The sequence below is a fragment of the Homo sapiens genome, chromosome 3 (assembly GCF_000001405.40).
Source record: "Homo sapiens chromosome 3, GRCh38.p14 Primary Assembly".
Lineage (NCBI taxonomy): Eukaryota > Metazoa > Chordata > Mammalia > Primates > Hominidae > Homo > Homo sapiens.
This window is the reverse complement of record NC_000003.12, coordinates 171,837,293-171,864,799: the sequence shown is the minus strand read 5'-3', so window position 1 is coordinate 171,864,799 and position 27,507 is coordinate 171,837,293. Positions and strand designations below refer to the sequence as shown.

The following is a 27,507-nucleotide window of genomic DNA, read 5'->3' as shown; positions in this document are numbered from 1 at the left end:
CTGTAATCCCAGCTACTTGGGAGGCTGAGGCAGGAGAACCTCTTGAACCCAGGAGGCAGAGTTTGCAGTGAGCTGAGATGGTGCCACTGCACTCCAGCCTGGGTGACAGAGTGAGACTCTGTCTCAAAAAAAAATTATTAATAATAACATTTTAGATTCAGATGGGGAAGCAAAGGAAAAAACCCACTACAATATGTTATATTAAAAGGGTAAATTGACTGCATGTCAAGAGGAAAATATGTTAAGCCTCATGATAATTTATAAAGTAAAAAATACAAAAAGCAGTTCTCAGGATCCTGACCCCTCCCCACCTACCACTCCCTCTTTGACAAAATATCAAACTTACTTTAATACATTACAATAAACACTTCAGTATCATTTCCTCTCTCAGCAAGTTGCTATCACCCTTGGTGTGGTCCCAGTGATTAAATGAAATGCAAATATCCTGGAAAAATAGCCTTCATTTCTAAAATATGAATGTTAGTTTTTGTTTGTGAGCAACGTAAGAAAGATTTTCCAAGAGAAGCATGACGATGCCAGGTCAGTAGGTGGGACTCACATGGGACTGCTGATATACCACCTAAAGGAGGTGACACAGTCCAGCAGCCGGGAGCCTGCACCCCAGACTTTGTGAGACCTGAGACTGAATTCTTAGTTCTACATGGCTGTCTCAGTGCCCTCATCTGTGAAATGGGCATAGTGAACTTTGGAGTGATGTGAGGAATAAAAGAGGTACAGCACCTGACAAACAGTAGCTGCCCAATAAATGACACCTACAATTCTTCCTCTTTTATCCAGTTTTATGTCACTGTTATTATGTCAGAGAAACAGAAGTAGTAATGCCCTGCATTGTGATTCTTTTTCCAGCTTCTGATTTCTCTACTGACCAATGTGAGGAGACTTCCTAACACAATTTGTGAGGAAGAAATACAATGAGTTATTATTGTTCTCTGGTCCTGCATGAGTTCTAATTGGATCTACGAAAGGGGGATTAGTTCCAAGAGCATCAGAAAGACCTTACTATAGCCGAAACTGAGGCCCCAGACCTTTAGGGTGAGAGTCATAGATGAATTCATTTCAAAGCACATTCATATTGCAATGATCCAGTGTAAGTCCCTTGGAAGATTTGGGGCCAGCATGATGCTGCTCATTTGTCTTCTGTTGGGCGGGAGAGGGTCCTCCACTGACAAATATTCTGCCTCCGTATGTTTTGGGATTGCATTTCAAGGTTTAACTACATCTCTTATGTGAAGCAAATATTTCTCAGTTCATTGAAAAAAGTAAAACCACTGTATCACATGACGAGAAGGAAATATTTTCTTTCCCCCTTTCATTAAAAAAGACACAAAACACAACACCGAATAATGAAAGGAAAACAAACAGGGCCATTCCATTCCGTGGAGGAGGGGCTGAGTAGCCGCAGGGGACAGCTGCATTGTGTCTGGCATCCCAATTCTTTCCTTTCCCATCACTTTATTACTTATTGGACGAAGAATGTAGACAATTCCGGCTATGGTTGTTTTGCATTTTCGTTCCTCGACTTAAACTCTGTGTTATGCGTGTTTGCCCCCTATGCTGGGTCTTGGAGCTGACAGAGTCACTTCAACATTCTGCATGGAGCCTTCTGAGCAGGTGGCTGTTATTCCCTTCTCAGCCCCCACCCCTTCCTGTGAGGCCTTGGACAGTCGCAAGGACTCACACGCCCCTTTGTGTTTATCAAAGTCATCAAACCTTTCATGTCTCTTTCAAGCATTTCTCTCTGTGGTTGTGGTTGGGTACCAATTGACAGAACATTCACACACCTTCACTGTGTGAACTTTAACAAGATGACCTGGATTCTACCAAAACAAGGCAACACAGGGAGGAAAGAAATAATGGATGTGGTGGTTCCTTAGGGGGTGCTTGATTCATTTCTGAAAACATATTTTTCAACGTATAGAAAAAAACTCTTAGAAGTGAATATTTTTCATTATAATATTGACTGATACGTATGGATCTTAAAAACAATAGTTGACTTTGTTCCACAGTTCATGACAGTACAAATACAAAATGACCACTTTTCCAAATCTTTTTGTAAACCATCACTTTTGTTTACAAACTTTCATGACTCTTGAATTTTCTGATATGCACAAAATTTACATTAAAAATGTTAATTTTCAGGGTGACACTTAAAAGTGCAGCTTTTTAATACACTGTCGATGTTTTGCTTATATAAGCAAAAAGAATTGTGAATGAATAGTAACATATTTTGTATTATAATTTTTAATGAAATGTTTACGATATTGCTTATCACTTTCTGCATGTGGGGAATCTAACAACATAACTGTATGGGGGTAAATGAAATATAGAATCATTATGTAGAATTCTGTATTTGGACAAATTATCTGCTTTTCATTTTAAGAAAGTTGTGCATTTTCTGAAATTTTAGTAAACAATATACTTATTTCACTGCGGGAAATTGTGCCTAATATAGCAGAGATTTCTACATGGTAGCAAAGGTTTGCTCAGGCTGTGTGTGTGCCTCATGGGCTTGGCGCAGTGGTGTATTTAATAATACAGAACATCGTGTCCTGTTACGTCAGCCACGCATCCTCACTAATGAAACACGATCTGCCGCCATTATGGTGTCAACTCATCCAAAAACACTCCCCAAGGAAATGTTGCTTATTAAATTTACCTAGAACTCTCACCCAAATTAGTGTTGCATTTTATGCAGATTGGGGAAACTGAGACTGTCAAGAAGTGACACTAAGAGAATCTTGTGCTAGGAGGAGAATCTTTTGCAAAATACAGTATGATTCTTAAACTTCACTGGCCATCAGATTTCTTGGGGTATGTGTTAAAAACGCACACTCTGTGCCTCCGACTCTAGAGTTTCTGACATAATAGGGGTTAGATGGCACCCAGAAATCTGGCTTCACAAGAACCCTGTATGATTTTGACATCACTGGTCTACTCTAAGAAATATAGTTTCGTTGGCCCTGTACCCAGCTGAGAAGGCACACACTAAGAAGTTGTGTCCTGAGCAAGATGGGAAAGGCTAAACTCTAAAGCTGGAGAAGCTTGCTTTTGAACCCAGCTCATCTCTGTTTTCAATTCATTTCTCTCTCCCCAGGCACTTCAGGTGGCCTCACTGTTGAATCTTCATGGAGGTGACTTACCAAGCCCCTCATATATTTTTTCCCTTTCTCCCTCCCCTCCGTCCCACATTAAACCTCTGTGTTATGCCTAAGGTGACAGCCAGATGTCTGATGAACGGCCCATGTTGAGGGGTCGTGACTGCCAGCACTTCAGAAATGTGTGGTGCTTCTAGGCATGCATTCCTTTTAGCAAAGGGCTCCAGAAAGTATGGACGTTTGCCACAAGGAAGAAATCTCAAATACTAAACTTCCAGATGCCCTGGCAGTACAGTGGGGGAGGTGATTTTGGTTTGCTTCCCTCAACTCTTGGCAGGCCTCCTTGTAAAATCAACTCTGTTCCTAAGAACGCACAGGATTTCCTTTGCAGACTTGCGTAGAAGTTGAAGAGGACAGAACTGACCACAAAAGGCATCAAGAGTGCCAAATTTTTGTATTCCAGCTTTGCTGGTTGGGGTGGATAGTATCAACCTGAAAAAAAAATTGGCTAACACTATCCAAATTCATTTGACCCCAATATGATACTAATCTAAATCATAAAGCCAGCATGAGAGTTTGCAGTGGGAAGTATCTCTTTCCAAAGGGAAGCTGTTCAACCCACGAAGGATCAGCATCAGCTGTAGGAGTTTAGAATCAGGTCACTTCTGCTCTTCTCCCAGAGGCCCTACTCCAACTCTCCTGGAGGCCAGAGCCATGCACTTTAACCGTAGAGTAGGGAAGTACACTGACACATAGTAAGCCTCTATTACTATCATATCATTAGTGGTATTATTAGCCCTTCTGGAAAAAGTTAGAAAGCTGAACTTGATGTTGGGGTACTTCAACCTCTTTGTTGGGGTAGGAATGGAAACACTGGGAGAATTTCTTCTATGTATTTTCAAGCCACAGTGCATCTGAATTGTGGGTTAGAAGCCAATTTAAGGTATCTGTATTCAACTATTAAAAATATTAAATATATTATTCCATCAATTTCCTCAAAAAGTTCTTAGTCTTTGTCTCTATTAGTACTTTTTATTGTGTAAAATTTAATTAGATAAAATAAAGCAAATTGTCAAATTCAATCCTACATTGTAAACTGCAAAATAACATTGCAAAGCATTATGCAGATGTTTAGGGTTAAAATTCAAGGTTTGACCTGATGAGGTGGCTTATGCCTGCATTCCCAATAGTCTGGGAGGCTGAAGCGGGCAGATGACTTGAGCCCAGGAGTTCAAGACCAGCCTGAGCAACGTGGTGAAACCTTGTCTCTACAAAAGATAAAAAAAATTAGTTGGACATGGTGGCTCACACCTATGGTCTCAGTTACTCAGGAGGCTGAAGTGGGAGGATCACTTCAGCACAAGAGGCAGAAGTTGCAGTGAGCTGAGATCATGCTATTGCACTCCATCCAGCCTTGGTGACAGAGCGAGACCCGGTCTCAAAAAAAAAAAAAAAAAAAAGAATAAGTAAAATAAAATAAAATTCAAAAATTCAAAGTTGGTTTATCTTAGCATATGTCTTCCCAGGGGAAAAAATACTATATTCTCATGACCTCTTAAACTTAGAATCAGGTAAAGGGATGCAGATTCATTATTCATAAAAAGTTCAGTGTTTCTTATCACTTTATGTTAAAAATGTATTTTATTTTATTCCAGCTTTAATGAGGTATATTTGACAAATAATGTTATATAAATTATAAGTGTATATTGTGATGATTATGTGTATATATATGAAATGTGAAATGTTTATCACAGTCAAGTCAGTTAACACATCCGAGACCTCACATATTTACCTCTTGTGGTGTGTGTGGTGAGAACATTTAAGATCTACTCTCTTAGCAAATTTCAAGTGTACAATACATTGCTGTTAAATAGTCATCATGCTGTACATTAGATTCCTAGAACTTACTCAACTTATAACAGAAAATTTGTACCCATTGACCAATTTCTCTCCGTTTCCTTCACCCCTCAGCCTTGGCAACAACCATACTACTCTCTATTTCTATGAGTTTAACTTTTTAAGATTCCACATGTAAGTGAGATAATACAGTATTTATCCTTCTCTGTCTGACTTATTTCACTTAGCATAATCCCCTCAAGTTTCATCCATGTTGTTGCAAATGGCATGATTTCCTCATGTTTTTAAGGCTGAGTAGTATTTCATTGTGTGTATTTTCTTTATCTGTTCATCTGTGGATGAACACTTGGATTGTCTCCATGTCTTGTCTATTGTGGATAATACTGCAGTGAACATGAGAGTGCAGATGTCGCCTTGGCATATGTTTTTGTTTTCCTCAGTTATATACCCAGAAGTAGCATTGCTGGATATGTAGTATTTCTATTTTTAATTTTTGGAGGAGCCTCCACACTGTTTTCTTTTTTTTTATTATACTCTAAGTTCTAGGGTACATGTGCACAACATGCAGGTTTGTTGCATAGGTATATATGTGCCATGTTGGTTTGCCACACCCATCAACTCATCATCTACATTAGGAATTTCTCCTAATGCTATCCCTCCCCCAGCCTCCCACCCACTGAAAGGCCCCAGTGTGTGATGTTCCCCACCCTGTGTCCAAGTGTTCCCATTGTTCAATTCCCACCTATGAGTGAGAACATGTGGTGTTTGGTTTTCTGTCCTTGTGACAGTTTGCGGAGAATGATGGTTTCCAGCTTCATCTATGTCCCTGCAAAGGACATGAACTCATCCTTTTTTATGGCTGCGTAGTATTCCATGGTGTATATGTGCCACATTTTCTTAATCCAATCTATCATTGATGGATATTTGGGTTGGTTCCAAGTCTTTACTATTGTGAATAGTGCCGCAATAAACATACGTGTGCATGTGTCTTTATAGTAGCATGATTTGGGATTATGTGTGTCTGTTGGCTTCATAAATGTCTTCTTTTGAGAAGTGTCCATGTCCTTTGCCTACTTTTTGATGTGGTTGTTTGTTTTTTTCTTGTAAATTTGTTTAAGTTCTTTGTAGATTCTGGATATTAGCTGTTTGTCAGATGGGTAGATTGAAAAAATTTTCTCCCGTTCTGTAGGTTGCCTGTTCACTCTGATGATAGTTTCTTTTGCCATGCAGAAGCCCTTTAGTTTAATTAGATACGATTTGTCTATTTTGGCTTTTGTTGCCATTGCTTTTGGTGTTTTAGTCATGAAGTCTTTGCCCATGCCTATGTCCTGAATGGTATTGCCTAGGTTTTCTTCTAGGGTTTTTATGGTTTTAGGTCTTACATTTAAGTCTTTAATCCATCTTGAGTTAATTTTTATATAAGGTGTAAGGAAGGGATCCAGTTTCAGCTTTCTACATATGGCTAACCAGTTTTCCCAGCACCATTTATTAAAAAGGGAATCCTTTCCCCATTTCTTGTTTTTGTCAGGTTTGTCAAAGATCAGATGGTTGTATATGTGTGGTGTTATTTCTGAGGCCTCTGTTCTGTTCCATTGGTCTATATATCTGTTTTGGTACCAGTACCATGCTGTTTTGGTAACTGTAGCCTTGTAGAATAGTTTGAAGTCAGGTAGTGTGATGCCTCCAGCTTTGTTCTTTTTGCTTAGGATTGTCTTGGGTATGCGGGCTCTTTTTTGGTCCCATATGAACTTTAGTTTTTTCCAATTCTGTGAAGAAAGTCATTGGTCATTGGTAGCTTGATGGGATGGCATTGAATCTATAAATTACCTTGGGCAGTACCTCCATGCTGTTTTCAATAATGGCTATGCCAATTTATATTCCCACCAATGGTGCACAAGGATTCCCTTTTCTCCACATCCTCACCAACACTTGTTATCTCTTACCCGGTTGATAATAGTCATTTTAACAGGTGTGAAGTGATATTTCATTGTGGTTTTGATTTGCATTTCCCTAATAATTTGTAATGTTAAAGAGCTTCTCAACACCTTTTCATGTACCTGTTGGCCACCTGTATGTCTTCTTTGAAAAAATGTCTACGCAGGTCATTTGCCCATTTTAAAATCAGATTATTTATTTCTTGCTGTTGAGTTGTATGAGTTCCTTATATATTTTGGATATTAATCCCTTGTCCTGTATATGGTTTGAAAATTCTGTAAGCTGCTTTTTCATTTTGTTGATTGTTTTCTTTGCTGTGCAGAAGCTTTTTAGTTTGATGTAGTCCCACTGTTTATTTCTGCTTTGGTAGCATGTGCTTTTCATGTCATATCCAAAAAAAGCAGTGCTAAGACAAATGTCAATGGAGCTTTATCCCTATGTTTTCTTTCAGTAGTTTTACAGCTTTAGGTCTTACATTTAAATCTTTAATCCATTTTAAGTTAATTTCTGTGACTGGCCTCAGATCGGGGTCGTAGTTCATTCTTTTGCATGTAGATATCCAGTTTTCCTAACACCATTTATTAAAAAGGCTATTATTCCTCATTATGCATTCCTGACACCCTTGTCAAATATTACTTGATTCCATGTGTGTGAGTTTTTTTTTTATGTAAACCATTTTTATTTTATCATGGAACTCTTTTGGGCACCATTATTTCCATTAGCATAGAGGTAGCTTCAGTTAATATTCTATAACAAGGCAGTAAATGCCCCATCAAGTGGAAATTCTCTAGTTCAGTTGTTGTTATAGAAAAACACTCACAGTCTTTTGCCATTCAGCCCCGATGAATGCTCCACACAAAGGGCTATGCAGTGACTAATTCATCTAGACTAGCACTCCAGGTACTACCCTATACTTTGTGGGCTTAGGTGATTTTACTAGTTCCCATTTAGCATGTTTAATTAACATTTCCTAAAAGAGCAGATTTACATGCCTTCAGCTTCATAGTACTAGAAAGGGGAAACATCCCAGTCAGATGCAGTACCCATTTTAATAAGACATTTAGGTAAAGGAGTTCAACTACCTTATATAAAGCTTGTTTAAACATCTTAAATTTTATAATTCTATTAATCTGTGTGCTTTTATATTCTGGTCCCAGGCCTTTTCTATCCCCAGACCATTTTACCTTTTATGGTGAAAAAGGGTTTGGGTTCCCAGCAGGGAGTTGCATCTGTAAGACATATGAGAGACAGCAAATTTGATAAGGCTTCTTAAATAGTCCTATGATTCTGTGGGAGGGGCACCCATGTAAAAGGGGTCCACTTAGCTCCCAAATTTACCATGACCTGGCTAATGGGTGTATTTGTTGGGAGGATATCCCAGTCATCATAAAGCCAGTCCAATATGGCTTGCATATGAAGGATATTAACTGCTTCACCTGGGGTGGTTCATTTGGTATTTTATAGGGAGAGTTGGGCAGTCCTCTTCTCAGGGCAAGCAGCACTTACAGTGTCACTTATCCAGTTTACTAGGCTGATTGTTCTCTTAGGAATAACCTCCTATGCATTTGGATTGCATATACTTATTAGAGATTAGTAGTGAGCTGTGAGTCTTGCATGAACCCAAACAAGCTCTTAAATTCTGTAGCATTTAAATTTAAGAATTTTGTCCTTAAAGTGGTTATTTTTACAATTCACTATAGTAAAGATTTTTTAAGAAGCTGATGATACCAATCTATGAAATGGAACAATTCCCTTACATTATACATTCTGCTTTTTAATGGTTACTTGGTTTTAGCCTTCCCCCATATTGACTATTTTTTTTGGTAATCACAGGGCTCAGAGTTAACTTTTGTTGCACTGGCCTAATTGTTCCCTTTATTTAGTTTTATTTGTATACTTTTTCCTTCATTTTAAAGCAACCATTAAATAGTTTTTAACTAGAGGAAAAAAACTATTTTCCTTTTTTAAAGCAAAATCAACATCTTTGTGTTTCATAAACTTTACCAAAAATGTATTTTATGCTCCCACTATTTTAACTTTTAATAATCCAAATTTCCAGTGAAAATAAAAACCAAGGGTTTAACATGACTTTAAGATTTTAAATTACTGGAGAGAGTTTTGAGATTAAATTTACCAAATTAATTTTATCACAGATTACTAAGATTATGGGAATTAAACGACATCTGAGCTAACTTATACCAGTCCAATGGGCACTTTTATTCTGCATGCCTATTATATCTGTATGCTTTTATGTGTCATGTGGAAATATTTCACTACCAAACTGCATGAAAGAGCTCTAATCAAGTAACTTTTAAAAAGCTACTTGATTACCACTGTATCCTTTATGCTTTTGATATCCAGGTCTGGCACATAATAGGTACTCAATAATTGTTTTTTAATTAATAAATGGAAATACCTGGCTAATTTTTTTGTGTATTTTTAGTAGAGATGGGGTTTCACCGTGCTGGCCAGGCTGGTTTTGAACTCCTGACCTCAAGTGACCTGCCTGTATCAGCCTCCCAAAGTGCTAGGATTACAGGTATGAGCTACCATGCCCAGCCTCAAAGGATATTTTATTTGCTTGTTTAAAAAGCAATTCCCTTTCCTACTTTAGATAATTAATAAAAGTTACAGGAACCATCAAAAGGTGAAGGAGAGAGCTATTATCCAAGGCCTTTTCAAAGAGAAAGAGCTGAATTTTTGAGGTATCAATCTGAAGAATGTCAAAGAGATAGGTCATAGAATTTAAAAATTAAAAACTTCTTGCATTAAAAATAAGTCAATATTTGTAATAAAATCTTGTTTTAACTAATTAGTTTTGTATTAGTGTATTTTTTAATATTAAAGACCTGTCTCTAGAAAGACTATTATGATTTCTTCTTAATCATAGCCAACTGAATTACACAACCCCTTTTTTAAAAAAAATTTCTTTTTACTAACGTTATTATGACTTACATAGACTATTCACAACATGCTTAGACTTTCTGTTTTGTCCTAAATATCCCTTTTTCTTGAACAACAAAGCCAATTTATTTTAGGACAAACATTCACATGTGGGTTTATTTCTGAGCTCTATGTCCTGTTCCATTGGTCTATTGTCTGTTTTTATGCTAGTGCCTTACTGTTTTGATTGCTGTAGCTTTGTAATATAGTTTAAAATCAGGAACTGTGATGTCTCCAGCTTTGTTCTTTCTCAAGTTCGCTTTGGCTATGTGTGGTCTTTTGTAGATCTATGCACATTTAAGATTATGTGTTCTATTTCTGTGAAAAATGCCATTGAACTTTTGATAGGAATTGCCCTGAGTCTATAGATCGCTTTGAGTAGAATGGACATTTTAACAACATTAATTCTCCTGATTTATGATTATGGGATACCTTTTTATTTATTTGTGTGTTCAATTTCTTTCATTAATATTTTGTAGTTTTTAGTATACAGATCTTTCACATTCTTGGTTAAATTTATCTTAAGTATTTTATTCTTTTTGATGATGTTGTAAATAGGATTGTTTGTTGTTAGTGTGTAGAAACACAGCTGATTTTTGTATGTTGAACTTGCATCCTGCAGCTTTACTGAATTTATCAGTTCTAACATTGTTTTTATGGAGTCTTTAGGGTATATATATATAAGGTCATGTCATCTGCAAACAGAGTCAATTTTGCTTCTTTCTTTCTGATTTGGATTTTTAAAATTTCTTTTTCTTGCCTAATTGCTCTGGCTAGAACTTCCAGTACTATGTTGAATAGAAGTAATGAGAGTGGGCACCCTTGTCTTGTTCCTATGAATAATTTTCAAAATTGTGGATTGACATAAAAATTGGCTGGTGCTACCTACGGCCATAACTTCAGTTATAATGTCAACATATTTCCATTTATTAATTCAAAAACAATTATTCAGTACCTATTATGTGCCAGACCTGGATATCAAAAGCATATGGGATACAATGGTAAATAACAGAGAAAGATCAACTGTTCACATACCAGACTTTCCATTTTAGCATACAAGATGGAACAAGAACCTGCCTCCCCTTTGTTGAAACTTACGTTTATGTGTCCATTCTGGATAAGTCTTGCAGAAAGTTTGATGAACACTGTCAAGGATGTACAGAGTAGGGTAAAGCTTAGGCACAGGTCTAGGGCTTGAAGTGTCAGGTGGTACTCTTCGTAGTGTGGTGGGTCCACACAGGCTAATGGGAATTTTGCATATGGATAAGGAAAGGTAACTGCATAGCCAAGGTAATTAGTCCCTGCAATCCCTGAAAATGAATAGAAGCAATATGGGCCCAGGAGAGCAGATTCCAAGGCTATTGCAAAATGAAGTGGACATCCCATAATGCTCAGAATCACAAAGGTGAAAGTAGCTTCCCCCTGAAAATAAAGCAAAAATAAATTGTTACTTTGGGAACAAAATATTTCAAAGGCTTCTTAGCAATATGAAGAAAATAAAAGAGATGCTGGCTATGAATCTCTCCTATTGGAAAATGAGGGAGAAATCAATCACGACTCTCTCTTTATATTTTCATTTTCCCTTAAAAATGTCCCTTGTATATTCATTTTCTTTTTTTTTTTTTCACTTTTTAAGTACCGGGATACATGTGCAAGATGTGCAGGTTTGTCACATAGGTTAACATGTGCCACAGCGATTTGCTGCACAGATCAACCTATCACGTAGGTATTAAGCCCAGCACCCATTAGCTATTCTTCCTGATGCTCTCCCTCCTGCCGCCTTTCATTTTCAATCTACACCAGAGGAGAATAATATATCAGCCAACTGGGGCAAAATTTAAATTAGTTCAATTCAACAAACGTTTATTTATGTGTTTCCCATCACATGGAAGCAACTAGTCTGGGTTGGGAAAAACAAAGATGAGTGAACAAAATCCCTGCTCAAGGTTCTTGCTACTCAGCTACTCAGGATGTGGTCCATCATTCAGTAGCACTGATATCCCCTGGGAGCTTGGCAGACATGCAGAATCTCAGGCCTCACCCAGATCTACTGAATCAGAATCTGCATTTTAACCAGATCTCTAGTTGATTTACATGTACATTAAAGTTTGAGAAGCCCTGTGTTAGCCATGGCAATAAAATTTATAATCAGATAATGTAGTCTTTTTGTATCATGGGATTATCTGGTTTTATGCAGTTGAAATGCAAGATAGCATAGACTTTTCATCCTTTTTTAGAAGGAGAGGTACCAAGAAGATTGGAAGGAGATCCCAGATTAAGGAGCTGAGAATTAAAAATATGTTACTAAAAGCAGAGAAGCCTATAGATCCATTTCTTCAAAATGAAATTTAGGAGCACTAACACAGGCTCTGTCCTCCCCAAATACAATAATGATCACAGGAACTTGTAGAAAATATTTGGAGCAGGGATCAGATAAAAATTATTCAGGGCTGGGCGCAGTAGCTAATGCCTGTAATCCCAGCATTTTGGGAGACTGATGTGGGTGGATCACCTGAGGTCAGGAGTTTGAGACCAGCCTGGCCAACATGGCGAAACCCTGTCTTTACTAGAAATACAAAAATTAGCTGGGCATGGTGGCGTGCACCTGTAGTCCCAGCTACTTGGGAGGCTGAGGCAGGAGAATCACTTGAACCTGGGAGGTGGAGGTTGTAGTGAGCCGAGATCATGCCACTGCACTCCAGCCTGGGGGACAGAGTAAAACTCCGTCTCAAAAAAAAAAAAATCTTTTAAAACAGAGTTTATTTCTGAAATCCATTGTAGTAAGGCATCAATTAGACCAAATTCAATTCTAATTGGAAATCATATTTTTTATGTTCCATCCTGAACTTAGTAGTGATTTGACCTTCAAAGCCTCTCTACCATCCTACTTGGCATCGGTATATTTACCAGGTACCTCTGGGTCCACTCTCTGTAAGCCAACAGTAGAAGCACACCAGTTGTGATGGCCTGTGACAAGAAAATGGAAAAATAAACATCCACCACAGAAGGTACCTCTGGAAAGAGTTCAATCTGTCTCACAGTTTGACAACTTTATCATGAACTTGAAGGAACAGAAAATGACTCAGTGGATTTATGGCTCTGATTTCCTCCTCATCCGTGGAAAAAAACTGTGATGACGAGGAAAGTAAGCCATTAGTGTCATAAAGACATGATTCATACAAGTTCATTTTTTGATTCTCTATGTTGCCTTTGCCATCAGAATCATCGCCTCCACTACTGTAAGGTGTCACCACGATAATAGCTTGGCTTTATAACCCTTGCCATACATTTTATTTTGATTAAATGTCTATCGTTCACCTTTCTCACAAACTGATGAAACTGTAAATGGAAGGAACCAGAATGGAAACTTGTCACAAAACCCTGAGGCGACTTTCTCTTTTGCTATTTGCTTTCTTTTGAGATTCCATAGCCTCAGCCTGCTGGTGGGATGCAAATACACGATCCCCTTTTCTCAAATAACAAAGATTATCATTAGAATGAATGCATGATGTGGCATTTATTGTTCTGGGTACAGTGGTGTCCAGCCTTTCAAAAGAGAGTTTTTCTTTATAGTCTCTGTTGAAGGAAAAAGGCCCACAGTGTGGAATGAAAATAGTTAAACAAAAGAGGGAAGAGTGTCACCAGAATTTAGCAGCGGATAATGAAAAAAATATATTCCTGGCTCTTTGATTCAGCAACAGATCTGATGGAGGAGACCTTTGTGGTCACTGAGACTGGAAATAGCTTATTCTTAATCCGCATATATCATTTGTTCTTGGTTAATGGCTCTTTTGAGGTTGAGCGAGAAAGAGGAAGAGATGTGCCTAAAATAAGATATAGAATATGGACAGCTCTAAATATAGTACAAGTTAGCTTTTGACAGAGAAATAAGCATGACTGTATGTACACAATCAACAAAGTTAAGGAGGAAAAAAAATCAGCATTTTTACCCACATGGTTGTGTGGTATGCTGCTTTTGTAGCAGCTGGATGTGGCATATTTATTGTTTTGAGACTTAGCTTTTTCATTTTCCTGGCATATTTTATTTTGAATGTTGGATTTAGAGAATTTGAGAGAGAGGGAAACACACACGCGCGTGCACACACACACACAGACACACACTTCTCATGTAGCTGAGCCTACAATTCCAGACTTGGCATCGCCATACCATAAAACTCCCATGGATAAAAACAGAACCATCTGTAGTCAAAAGGGGTTCCTGGCTTGATTCTGCAAGAGGAAAGTTTCCAAGGGACCCTATGGAGGGTGAGCCAGCATAAATAGTACAAGAAAACAAAAGAATTATTAAGAGCAACTGTAACACCGGTGCTGTAGGGTAAGCCTGGGGCTTTCTGTGCTTTGGGAGGCATGGCCCTCAATTGACACATCACTCCTCTGTCAGAGAGAGAAACACTGAAGCCAGATAAGCAAGGGAGACAGGCTCACGCCCCTCTGCTGGTTTAACTCTGAGTAGATAGCTGACATTATCAGATGCTGAGATTCCAGGTTGCCTTAACTACTTTGGCATGAGCTGTTTCTTTCCTTTCAAAAAGTTGAAAAATGCTGCAGAATTTCAGTTGCCTGTTATTTTTGTAGCTGCCAGCTTGAATTTTGCTTTGTTTACATAAAACTTTGAAAAAGATCTTTCATGCAGTAGGCTGAGTATGAATGCCTTCAGTAACTTGTTAAATCCACCCTGCAAATTGAAAGGCAGCTCAAGAGGTTAGCGCACCCATCTTTATTGGTGCTCCCCGCCAGACATGGGAGATAGAATAGGGCTATTTTCCCCAAGATGCGCAGACTTCCCCTTTTCTTTCTTCCATTTCTTCTTGAAAATTATATTTTTAGATAGGGAGGAGAAAAGAATGAAAAAGGAAGAGATTTGAGGGTAGGCAGGACAAGTCAAGGGGAAGAGAAAATGTGAGAGAGGGAGTGTCTGAGGGGGGAATAGTTGGCTGAAGAGGAGGCCAGGTTATGAGGAAGGGGAGAGTGGAGGCTGTGTCTGGCAGTGAGTGGGGAAAGAAGAGAGGGCCCCCATCCTGCACTCGCCTCCCTCAGCTCTCCTTGACATGCTGCTGCCTTGCTTTCTGGGCGCTTCCAGGGATATCAGCTGGGTTTTGCAACAATTACTGCTAACACTTTGATTGCATGATCATTGTGAACCCTCCCACTAAATCTTTAAATTGCCTAAGTAGAGGACGTAGTTCCCAGAAGTAGATGAATTGAAGGAAGCAGGGAGCCCTCACAATAGAAATAGAAACTTTAAGAGGTATCATATTAATATGGTTAATTTATTCACTTACAAGCATCTGTTATGAGTCTACTGCAAACAAGCAATGTGCTAGGTACTGTGCTGATAAAGTAATAATAAATGTTAACATGTATTGAGTGAGTGTTTAATATATGTTGAACACTTCACATGTGTTAACTCATTTAATCCTCACAATGACCTTATCATGTAGATATCCTCCCACTTTTAAAATGAGGCACAGAAAGGCTAAATAAGATGAACAAGATCCCCAAATAGTAATTGTACAAATAGTGGTTCTGACTGCCGCTGGAATTTACAGTTCAGGTGTAAAAATAATGCACACACGAGAATGGCTACAACACTAGGCAAGAAGGATGAATGTTTTCTGCATGAGAAGAGCTCAGAGATAAGGTATCACTTACAGGGGAAACATCGATGATAAAGGCACCATGGAGAAATAGGATCTGAAGTGGGTTTAAGGATGGATGTGATTTCAATGGGAGGTGACAGAGGGAGGGCAGCTCAGTCTGTGGGAGCAGCATGTGCAAAGGTGGGGAAGTGGCTGCCATGCTTAGGGAGCAGGGAGTGAGGAGTCCACACTGAAAGGAGGGCCAGTTCTTGGCAGAGAAGAGTAGAAAATCAGGATTGAAAGCCAGGTAATACCAGGGTGAGAAGGACCTCACAATGCAGTCTAGCACGTCTGAACTTTGTTTAGGGACAATGAAGCAACGTGAAAGATTTTTGAAGGACCTGTAGCCTGACTACTGAAGGGGTTTAGAAAGATGAGCCAGTTGTGTGCACACTAGATTGGAATACGGGGAGGCCTAGACATCTCTGTAGAACCCTGGTCTTCAGATTTATTTTTTCAACTCTAGCCACAATAACGAATACATTTTATGTCATAGTTATAAATATTTTTATATCTGACCAAAATAATATGTAACCATCATTATGCATCATATGCATTATGATGCATATAAAAGATATACAAATTTTGGTCAGATATAAAAAATGTGGTGCATTCTAATATTATCTATTCCATTCCACTCCACTCCACTCCACTCCACTCTACTCTGTTCTCCTCTGTTCTATTCTATTCTATTCTATTCTATTCTATCCTATTCTATTCTATTCTATGCATTTATTGTAAATACTGCTAGCTACTCAATAGATTGATTTTATAATTCACTAATGGATAGATTCCCACAGTTTGGCTATCAAAGTTACCTAGGCATAAAATCTGAGAAGTGATGGCAAGTGGTAAGGGGGTATAGAGTGAGATGGAAAAGGAAGGAATGCATAGGGGTATGCCTTGTAGGAAAAATTAAAGTTACATGGCAACTGATTAGAGTAGGGTTGGTGTTAGGCTGTAGGGCATTGCTGCCTGCAGTGTGGTCCTAGGACCAGCAGCATGGGCATCCTCTGGGAACTCATTAGACATGCAGACTCTCAGGCCCCACCCCAGACCTGCTGAATTAGAACCTGCATCTCATCAAGATCTGCTAATGATTTGTATGCACGTTACAGTTTGAGAAGGGATAGTTTAGAGGAACAGGTTGAGTCAAAATCACTCCAGTATTTGGAATTGAGTTACCAAGACAATGACAGGGAAGTTGGAGAAGAAAAAAAATGGTTTTGGTGACAAGATGATTAATTTGGTTTTAGACAAGTTGGCCTTAAAGCAGCTTAGGATATCTAAGTGGAAAAATGGACCATTGACATAGATTATTTGCTTGATCAAACTTTAGTCAGGTTCCTGAACCTTCTCCTAGGCCCATCTGTGTACTTTCTTGTAAAATCCAGTTTGAGCACAAGAACCCTGCTGCTGATGAGTCAGTTTAGCAAGAACCCCCCCTAGTCTCAATATCTGATCACCCTCTATAACTAGTCAGATTTCTCCTCCTCCCCCATCCCCACCGTGATGTCTGATCACCCTGGCCTGTCTTCAGCAAGAAAACTGGTAGGTCTGTATAGCCAGAATCCCCCTTGCCCCTGATATTTCCTGTTAGTAATTTTCCATCCACCGACTTTTACCCTTATAGCTGCTTCTCAGCTATAAATTCCCATTTGCTCATGCTGTGCTTGGACTAGAACCTTGTTCTATATTGATGTCTCTTTTTCCCTATTGCAATAATCCTGAATAAAATTTGCTTTTATTGCTTTAACTAACTGTTCAGCTCTGGTTTTTCTTTGACACCATCAGGCAGTTGGAAGACATGCAACTGTGGAAGCTGTAACAGACGTGCATGGTCATGTAATCAAGCCCCTTCTCTAACCGTCGAGGAAGGGGCAGAACTTCCGTTGAGGAAGACTGCAAAACTAAATCTAGCGTGACCTTTCTCCCAAATTCCCTTCTCTAAGCAGGGCTCTGGGTACAGCGCTGCACTTGCCATTGGCCAAGTCACTGGGCTGTCCAGCCCTCAGGGCCTGTGTTTAAACTCATTGCACTCCAGTCTTTTCATCAGAACTTGATCTACAAGCCATGTTTTCTAGAATTAATAGAACTCATTCCTTATGGTATTATGATCTCCTCACTGAATACTTGCTAGCAGCTGATGCTTTTAAATAACCTAGCTCCAAAATTCTAGGAAAATTGCTTGTCATATAAATGTCAAAATGGAACTAGGGAGTCTGAGGACCAATCTATATGAAGTACTTAGAGAGTCTTGAATGAAAGACTTTGAACAAATTCAAAGTACTGTATCATATACAAAAATCTCTTTCTTACAAGTCCCCAAGGAAATATGGAGTCATCTGTAAAAGGAAATGTTAATATGGTTGAAATGTACAAATCTTGTCACTGGAGGAAGACATACTTTGGAGGCAAGTTAAGAAGTGATTGGTAAGGGAGGTTGTGGAATGAGTCAGAGACTGTTTGAAGTTCACCCTGATCAGACAGAACTGTGGTTCAGTAGGAAACTCACTAGTAAAAAAACATAACGTTCGTCCAAATTTAGACATTATTGAAAGACTGAGCATTTGTATTACTTTCCTTCTCATGAGGATTTTTTCCTGCACTAGTATAATATAAATACCACCCTGACCTTTAGTCTTTGCAACCTAATTGGTATTCAACTGTATAAGAAATTCTGTACCAACAGAACGGAGGGTATGAGATTCATTCACTCATTCAACAATACTTATTGAACAATATTTATTGAACACAGAGTTTGTAATTCCCTTTGTTCCAAGTTCTTCAGATACAGCAGTAAACATAATAGAAAAAACAATCCCTGCCCTTCTACAATATACATTTGTTAGAGGAGAGGGGAATATACAAACAATAAATTGAAAAATTATATAGTGTCTTATATGCTAATAAGTGTTATGAGGAAAAAATAGAGCAGGGTATCAGAGATTGGGAACACCAGTTGGGGTCAGGGGATTACAATTTTAAATAGTGTAATGGGAGCAAACCTCCATAAAAAAGTGTTGTTTGATAAAGAATTAATCAAGAATTGAAGGAGACTAGGGAGTGAGCCAAGTTCAGGAAGAGGCTTTAGGCAGAGGGCAGGTAGTGCAAAGGCCCTGAGGCAGAAACACATCATGGCATGTTTGAAAACTGCAAGGAGCCAATGTGATGGGAGAGAAGTGACCTAAGGGAAGAGTGGTAGGAGATGAAGTCCAGGAAGTAACAGGATGGAGAACTCAGCAGGTTACGAGGGAGTAGGATAGGAAAGTGAGGTGGGTGACACAGGATTAAGAACAAAGGGCTTGAACAGAGAGTAGGGCACAAATGAAAGGCATAGTATTAACTAGCATTTGAAGAGGGCTTTAAAATTGGCAAAGCTCTTTATTATACAATCTTTGTTTAAATTGTGTTCCTTCTCACTGTGCATCTTAGGGTTGGACAGTTTTACACGTGGGCTCTTTTTATCTGTAAAATTCCCCATTTTACAGATAAAGGGAATGAGGAACTGGCTGGCTGAGGGTCCTGCTTTTGACCTCCTACCAAGAACATCAAAGTCAGGACTTGAAAACAGGTCCACTTCTCTAAATCCTTTATCTCTGACTCCATTTCCTGATGCTGCCACCTCTGAAATCAAACAGTTACCAATTAACTATGTGCTGGAGACACATCATATCATTTCTCCGGGCCTAACTGGTAAAAATAGATGTTTGGCCTAGAACAATACATTCAATCATCTGTAATCTTAATCAAAATCACCAATATTTGTTTAATGTATTATGTTGCAGTCTGAAAGGATAGGCAAACAGCTGTAACAAAAGAATGTAGGGTTGAACTCTAATCATGATATTGTTAAACTTTGTGAAATCAGAATTTTTAAAAAAATTAAATGAAATAGAAAATATCAGAATATGTTTCACATAGAGGGTAAGTACTATTTTGAGCAACTTTTGTTTTATAGATATATAAACATCTACTATACATGTATATACATAATAGATGTAGATATCTATTTATCTAGAGAGAAGAATGTAGATGTATTTATGTACATTCTGGGTCCTCACCTAAAATATTTTTCTGACTCTGAGTCACCAAAAAAAAGTTTGGAAGCCACTTGAATAAGTGTAACTGCCATCTCTGCATTCCAGTAGAACTTAAACAAATATTTCTTTGAATGAATTGTGGTTTCAGGTAGGTGTTGGAGAAAAGAAGGGAAGATCAAGATTGGGGTGATAGATGCAAAAGAATGTATTGAAAAAGAAAAAAAAACTGAGAAAGAGAAAGATAACCCTGTGGTTTCCTCATTCCATCGACTCTCCCATAATCCCACTGGCTTCCGTCTATCTGCACACATTCATCAAACCCCACTAGACCAAGTTCCTTTAAGATGAAGACCTTGTTGGATCCTTCATTGTAACTCAACGACATAGGGGGCTATTCATAAATATTTATCTAATAAGTAGATTAAAATTTATATTTCCTGAGGTCTAGTTTTTAGGTGGTATCTCAGTTAAAGTTTTAACTTTTTAAAGATTTAAGATACTATCTCACACAACAGTGGCTACATTTTGTTTGTTTGTTTTGAGATGGAGTCTTGCTCTGTCACCCAGGCTGGAGTGCAGTGGTATGATCTCGGCTCACTGCAAACTCTGCCTCCCAGGTTCATGTGATTCTCCTGCCTCAGTCTCCTGAGTAGCTGGGATTACAGGTGCATGCCACCACGCCTAGCTAATTTTTGTATTTTTAGTAGTGACGGGGTTTCGCCATGTTGGTCAGGCTGGTCTCGAACTCCTGACCTCGTGATCCGCTCCCCTTGGCTTCCCAAAGTGCTGGGATTACAAGCGTGAGCCACCATGCCCGGCCAAGTGGCTACATTTTAATAGAAGATTCCTTAAGATCAAAAAGCTTCAATATTGAATTCTCCAGTCTCCAGTAGTGTCAGGCGTCACAGGAATCAATGAGAGAAGGATTTGTTGGACAGGTGGGTCTCTGTAACTTCTCTTAAATCATACCAGCATGGAAGCCAGTTACTCCCAAGACTAGATGTGCCCATTTTTTTTTGGTTGGAGAGCTAAGGGACCAGGCCAATCGTTTATCTGTGCAATGATTCAATGAGCGCACACGGAGTACTACTTAGTGTCGTACGCTGTACTTGGCACATGTACTTTCCTAGTGAATTGTGAAGTCCATCTTGAATTATTGAATTATTTGAATTATTTTCAAATAATTGAAAATTATTGAGTTATTTTCAGTTCAAACAGTTGCTTGCAAGAGAAAGGTGGAAAAACAAATATTTGGGGTTTGTAAATTTTGGGGCCATGTACATCTTAGTGTTTGCAATGAAAGCATTAGTTTGAAAATTATTTTACTTTGTTCTGTATTTTAAAATTACTTTTCAAGGTTTATGTTTTTTTCTAAATTCAAAATTCACATTTCAAAAGATTCTAATTTCTTAGCATATCAAGTTAAGTGGATTAAAATAAAATAACTTTTTAAGAATTTCTTGAGCAGCATGTCATTAAAAATACATAATATACATGTATACATGATAAAACAATATTAAGATCATTTTTATACTTAAAATGCAATTAATAGAAATCAATGTTCCAAGGCGGATTCTGATTTTTTGTGGAATTTTGACTTCTTTGTATTGTTAGAACAATTTAAAAGGATATGTTCTTCTGTTTTCCCTTTCCCTCCCACCTTCTTTTATTTTCTCAATATATTTAATAAACTATTTTCATACCAAAGCTCCATTCCAGATAGGACAAGCAATTCGAACACTCCATCCTGTGAACCAAGGCTTGTAAGAAAAGACAGGAAAGAAAGCAATAACTCCAGAGCATACACTGAGGATCCCCAGAGTAACAAGAATCCGGCCAGCAGCCTGGTAGAGGCCCTTCATTTTCCTTGGTGGCTTGAGGCCTTGGTCTCAAAGATGTTTTGTTACCAAAACATGAGCGTATGACAGGCCTCAGTAAATAGAAGTTTCTTAGAGACAGTAGCCACGACACATACGAACTGTTGATCTACTTGGAAACAAGATTCTATTTGTTTTACCAAAGATGAAATGTACTCAAATAGTCCTTGGCATAAATTTGACACAATAAATTCTAATAACAATTTATTTAAGAGAAAGAGAGAAAAAAATTATCCCTTGCTTTGGATTGCTGCCTTGATTCCCTTCATTCTGCCCTGTCCTGGGGAGTGACCACTTCCTGGCTTAATCAGATTCAAAGGCTTGCTGACTGAGCTAATTGTTTCTCAACTCAACCTGCCTAGTGGTTCCAGCATAAAGCCAACATCCTTTGTGTACAATAGATCCACATTCCCAGCACAATTTCCCACAAAACAAAGTAAAAATAAGCACCCTGGTCACTTTTCATTATATTTAATTTAAATGATTTCAACCCAAAGCAAGACCTTCACCTCCTTTCAAAGTTTAATTCCACTACAATTATTTTTGATAAAGATTTTTGATATGGATTCATTCCCAAATGGGCATGAACTTTATTATGGAGTTTTGCATTGTTTTCACTAAACCAGTTTCACCTTATTTTACTATTAATTTAATTTTCAATTAAAGTGTGATGATGGAAATGTATGCAGTTATAAAATAAAATAAACTTTGAGGAGCAATTCATCAGTTGAATAAAATGCTGATCCCCATTCATTCTTGAATCATAATTCTAATTTGAGATATTGAACTTAGGTACATTTAGGCAGTTACAAGTCATCTCTTACTTTTTCATGCATTTGAGAAAATGGTGTTATTTGATTTTGACTGATTGGATATATGTGGATGTCTGTTCAAAAAAATATCTTAAAAACACAGGTCAGTTTCTGAAGCCATCTGAATAATTTTCCTATTTAACATTAATACATTATTCCTTTTTACTGAAATAAAAGGATGAAAAATAATTTTATGAATGCAAATGAAGTGGTTTAGGACATCGATTTTGAGTCAGATGGAGCTGTGATCCGATTCTGGTTCCACTCTCTACCAGGTTTGTGTCCTTGAGTAAGGGCAAGTTACTTAACTTCTCTAGGTCTATTTATTCGTATGCGAAATGGGAATAAAAGTTAGTGTTTATCTTTAATGGATTTGGTTGAGAGGATTAAATGAGCTAAAACCATAAATGCCTAGCCCAGAGTTTAGCATAACGAAGATGTTCAGAAAGTTACTCTTGTTAAATTGGGATGTTCCACCTTTGGGGTCCTTCCATCGTGGGACAAAGGTGCACTTATTGTGGTTTTTTTTTAAATTCATCACCTTAAAAACATCATGTTTAACTCTTCCTGAACAATTTGGTAAAAACTCCCAAAGGACCCTCCCATATGTGGTGGAAAGAGAAGCTTCTCTCTGATTCTCTGCTTTTTTTCTTTCTGCCTTTCTGTCTTTAATAGCCATTCCACAGTTTGACCCAGATTTTGAAGCAGTTGCATTCCTGGATATACAGAATCCAGGAAACCAACTCATGCTTTCTGGTACAGCTGCTATTTCTTATCTCCTCTCAACACTGTGGGCTATATTCTCTGATTTTTTTTTTCTAACACCACTAGATAAATTTCACAAGGGCAGAGACCTTGCAAGTCTTATACATCCCTTAAATGTATGAGATATTCCCAGCGTCTACAACCTTGTCTGCATCAGAGCAGATACATATAGTAATAAGTATTTGTTGAATTAGTTGATTAATACATTAAACTTTCCCCTTTGTATTTGGGCTCTCCTGTCCCCCTGAAGCTGCACAAGTATAGAGCCATGTGAATCCACCACCGTCAATGAGTGTTGATGCTAGTTTGTTCCACTGATATGGGGGGGGAAGGGGTCGAGAGTGAAGAAAGACTTGTTTGTATTAGTATTTGGTTTGAGCTGTTTTGACTTTTTCCTTTACTTTTTATCTCAAGGTTATAGCTAGATGGTATGTCAATATGCTGTGGGTCAGATCACTCTCTCCTGTTTGCATGTTTGGAAAATAAAGACTGTTGAAATACTCATGTTAAACAGTACAAAGATGGCAAACAAAGAGAGTATTTTTTGTTTTAACTTGAAGGACCTTTTAAGTGCCTGTAACACTCACAGCCTAACCCTGACACTGCTATTGTGACTTATAAACCTGAATTTATTAGTGATTAGAGGAGCTGTTGCCACTTAATATAACAAAGAGAAGGAAGAGAGGTAGAATAGGGTTTCTCTCTGTGTGTTTTCCCGCAGGAATCTAGTCCCACTAATTTCATTAAAAAAAGGACATTTTCAGTGAGAGCAGCTACTAGGAAAGAAAAGAAAGTGTCACTGCTTCTGTCTTGGGCTTCCTCTCTGATCAGCCGTGTCTGTGTGCCCATGTCCTGGCAGCCAGCAAGGTTTATAGGGCCCCTGCTCCCTCTAGTCATCCCACGTGGCACTAACTGACTGCAAGTTGGGCCTGCAAGTTCTCCTAGGAGGTGGTGGTGTCAAGGTCGCTGTAGGCTGCTTTGCAGACTCCACCTTCTCCTCAACCCAGGGGATCCCAGGATCTTGGCTCAGGGAAAAAGGCGGTAGCTTCACCAAACACTTCAAGCCAGTTTTGCCACTGAAAACAAACAGAAAGCCCAAATTGACATTTTTATTCCAATGTTCCCCCCTCCACACCAAACACAAGAAATCATCAATCAATAAATCAGTCAAGCAAAATTAGACACTCAAAGAAGTGGAAGAACATCAGTGATGCGGAGAGAGGGAACCTGATATGAACATTCTCTACCTCTTTAAAATACATTCCTTCACATGTGAGCCTTAAAAATAACAGCTCTGTGGGGGCTATAGTCTTGGGATTTTTAAAGTAGGTTTCAAAGCTATGGAAGGAGTTCATTTTTGCCAAGTTAAAAGATAATGCAGCTCCAAACGAGAGATGAAATTAAAATGTTTTCTTTTCCTAGCAGCTTCAGATGACTAGCTTTATTTGTTTATGTATTAAAAAGGTAGCTCGTGTCCTAGAAAGAGTATGAGCTTTGGTGTCAGAAAGACCCAGATATTGAATATTCTATCTAATGCATACAAAAGGAATGAAAAAATTAGAAAAATTAACACTCGGTTAATATCAGTGCAATAAAGCAAAGATCATCAATAGATGTTAAAACCTTTGGATAAACGGAGAAAAAAATTACAATGCAAAAGAATATTTCTACCAAGTAGAAATATGGCAGCCACCTCAACCAAGTGATCAAACTTTACATCACCCAAAACAAGACAAACAGACATCATTGTCTCCTGATACAATACAATGCAAGCACACGCCATCTTCTGTGTAGTATTTTTGGCAAAAATATTTTAACCTGAATCTAATTATAAAGAAGCAATTAGATAAATCCAGATTATAGGGACATTTTGCAAAACACTGGCTTGGACTCTTCAAAATTATTCAAGTCATAAAAGACATTTAAAAAGCTGCAGGGACAATTGAGGAAGTTTAAGTATGGAGTTTATTTTAGATAATACTAGAGTATCAATGTTAAGTACCTTGGAAGGATGATTGGCATTATATTTATATAAGAGAATGTCCCATTGGTGAAACTGGGTGATGTTAGTGCTCTTTACAATTTTTTTCAGGATTTTTGTAGGTTTAATTTTGTTTTAATTTGTAATTTTAATTTTTTAGACACAGTGCCTTGCTCTGTCACCCAAGCTGGAGTGCAGTGGTACAATCATAGCTCACTATAACCTTGAACTCCTGGGCTCAAGCAATCCTCCTGCCTCATCCTCCTGAATAGCTGGGACAATAGGGCCATGCCACACCTGGTTAATGCTTTTTAATGTTTTTTTTTTCTGTAGAGATAGGATCTTGCTATGTTGCTCAGGCTAGCCTTGAACTCGTGGCCTCAAGTGATCCTCCAGCCTCAGCCCCCTAAAGTGCTGGGATTACAGGTGTGAGACATTTTTTGTAGGTTTGGAAATGTCAAGGTAAAAGCTGAGACAAGAAAAAACAAGATTTAGCTGTATTAACTGCATGAAATAAAAGGCGTGAGTTTTGCTCAGGCATATGGCCATGCTGGCTCAATAACCCTCATGATATTGATGAATCTGGGATGTGCAGGAAATGCAAGGCAAAAGCTGCTTTTCCCCTGTGCAGCACCAAGCAGAATCTGTCTTCCTAGAATCGGAATGATGGGACAGGTGTATTAGGTTAGACTGTGAAGGTGCGCCTCCCGTGCAAACACAATATAGGTATTTTTAAATATACTTTTGTGTCTTTCCAAATAGTCCAGTTTCTTAACTGGATTTAAAATCTTTCCAATGTTCATCCATAATGCACACTTCCCTTTGCTTTTTACTAGCTATTCAACTTCAACTTCGAGTGAACCCGCTCTTCTTGTAATGGCTTGGGGTTTAAAGAGAACAAAGTTCAATTTTTATCATCCCTAACTGGGAATTGTCAAATTTAATGTCATCCAATCTGCAAGATGTTTGGATCTAAATAGATTTGTACATCAGCCTGTGCTTACCTAACTCAGATTTTTATTTGCCTTTGGTATATCTGACCCGCAAATATGTTTTGAAATTATCTGGAATGTATCAGAATTTTCCCATGGTTTTTGAAGCAAAACACTTCATTGTGTCACCAGCAAACTTGCACAGCTAGCTGTCGTTTCACTCTCCCAAGCCTTGCAGCTGCAAGGAAAACCTCTTATTGGCTGACTTGTCCACGCCAGGCAGCCTCCCACAGGCTACTGTGGATATTGTCTGCCTTTTGGAGAGGCTACTCCTGTCTTGTTTTATCATGGAGATAGAGGAGTCACGGACAGAACTGTAATTGTGACCACAGCTGTGATTGATTGGTGCTTTGGCCACCAAGGAGAGGAAAAGAAACTAAGAAAACAGGAAGAGAGAAACAGTGGGGGTGTCTGGGGAAGAGAGGTGGAGAAAAGATGGAGAGGAAAGAAGAACAACAAGAGAGGAGTCAGAATGTAGAGGAAAACATTCCTGAAGCCAAAAACAGCTTCTTGCGTCACTCACAGATCCAAAGCTCGGGTCTGGACAGAGTTGATTCAGGGACAGAGGAACGATGGAAGCCTTGGGCCATTCATGTACATTTTACAAAAGCTGTTTGTAGGGAGGACAACAGGGAAATAAATAGAGGAAAAGGGCAAAGAAGTAGAATGAGAAAAGAGAAACTGAGTATTCTAAAACATTCTTAGATGATGCTTGTTTTAAAAATTGCTTTTAGGGATGAACTTTTAAGTCTTCTTAAACAAGGAATGTATATTCCCTTAGTTTCTTCTCTTGGCATTTTTGAAAAAGAAAAGAACCAAATTGATCCATGAGAAACTAAGCACAGTTTTTGACCCAGTTATACCCATGTAAGAGGCAAAAGGGAGAGAGGAATGATGAAGGTGCATTGCTAAAGCCCTCAACAGTTACTATTATTAGTCCCATTGTACAGATGGTGAAACTGAGGTTCTGAAATGTTAAATGAAGGTGACACAATTATTAAGTGTCAAATCCTGCTTTTGAACCTATAAATGCTTGATTCTAAATTTTGTAATTTTTACTTTTCTCCACTAGATCAGTATTTGGTGTACTATGTCTTTTTAAAAAATATACATGCATCTGTGAAATTTACCACGAAGTATACAAAAACCTATAAGGCTGTACTCAAACTGAGGACATAAGAAGAATGGGATGATGCTGTGTTTACTTACACCAAGGAGGCTTGATCAGAACTGCTGATTCTGCTCCTAGTTATACAGAAAAAAGAATGGAATAAAGAGATTCTTTACTTTCTCTTTTAAAAAAAATTAGACCAGAGGAGAGAGCTAAAAGCAAAGGCAAAGGTTTGTTTCTGTGCATTGATATAAAAGTCCCAGAATATCTATCTAGAGTGTTTCTGTGCATAGTTTTCTGTTTTCCAGTGCTGTATGAGTGGGCTGTTGCCATTGATGTGGAGATGGACTGGAATGGTTGTCATATGCAAGGTTCCCGAATAGGACAAGGAACAACCTGCTGCAATAGAAAGAAA

At 38.3% G+C, this 27,507-nt stretch overlaps 1 protein-coding gene across 3 annotated transcripts, besides 1 other annotated feature; it reads right to left on the bottom strand.

The window, feature by feature from the left end:
• Positions 1 to 5,481: 5,481 nt before the first annotated feature.
• On the bottom strand, positions 5,482 to 21,451 carry TMEM212 (transmembrane protein 212). Of its 3 annotated transcripts, NM_001164436.2 has the most exons (5): positions 21,258 to 21,451; positions 12,759 to 12,818; positions 10,950 to 11,273; positions 8,093 to 8,137; positions 5,482 to 6,739 (listed from the first exon to the last, which is right to left on the bottom strand). In NM_001164436.2, the coding sequence occupies exons 1-4, from the start codon at positions 21,414 to 21,416 to the stop codon at positions 8,096 to 8,098; spliced, it is 585 nt and encodes a 194-aa protein (NP_001157908.1). In that variant the 5' UTR covers positions 21,417 to 21,451; the 3' UTR covers positions 5,482 to 6,739; positions 8,093 to 8,095. The 3 variants fall into 3 exon arrangements, with proteins under 3 accessions (NP_001157908.1, XP_011511119.1, XP_016861865.1); XM_011512817.1 differs by lacking the exon at positions 5,482 to 6,739 and having other exon boundaries at positions 7,939 to 8,137; XM_017006376.2 differs by lacking the exons at positions 5,482 to 6,739; positions 12,759 to 12,818 and having other exon boundaries at positions 7,939 to 8,137.
• Positions 13,967 to 14,261: a silencer, noted in NCBI's record as "tiled region #14633; HepG2 Repressive non-DNase unmatched - State 7:EnhWF, and K562 Repressive non-DNase unmatched - State 7:EnhWF". NCBI's record gives its function as "represses a minimal TATA promoter and a strong SV40 promoter by Sharpr-MPRA in HepG2 and K562 cells {active_cell/tissue: HepG2 | K562}" and the evidence as "EXISTENCE:reporter gene assay evidence [ECO:0000049][PMID:27701403]".
• Positions 21,452 to 27,507: the final 6,056 nt, after the last annotated feature.

Bases quoted from the DNA above. Each gene is read 5' to 3' on its own strand.
- TMEM212 (NM_001164436.2), bottom strand. From the start codon at position 21,416: ATGAAGGGCCTCTACCAGGCTGCTGGCCGGATTCTTGTTACTCTGGGG. The intron at 11,274-12,758 runs GTAAATATACCG...CTTTATTTTCAG, and splicing joins AGTGGACCCAGAGGTACCTG to GGGGAAGCTACTTTCACCTT. The intron at 8,138-10,949 runs GTAAGTTTCAAC...TATGTCTTACAG, and splicing joins TCCAGAATGGACACATAAAC to ATGCAACTCCCTGCTGGGAA.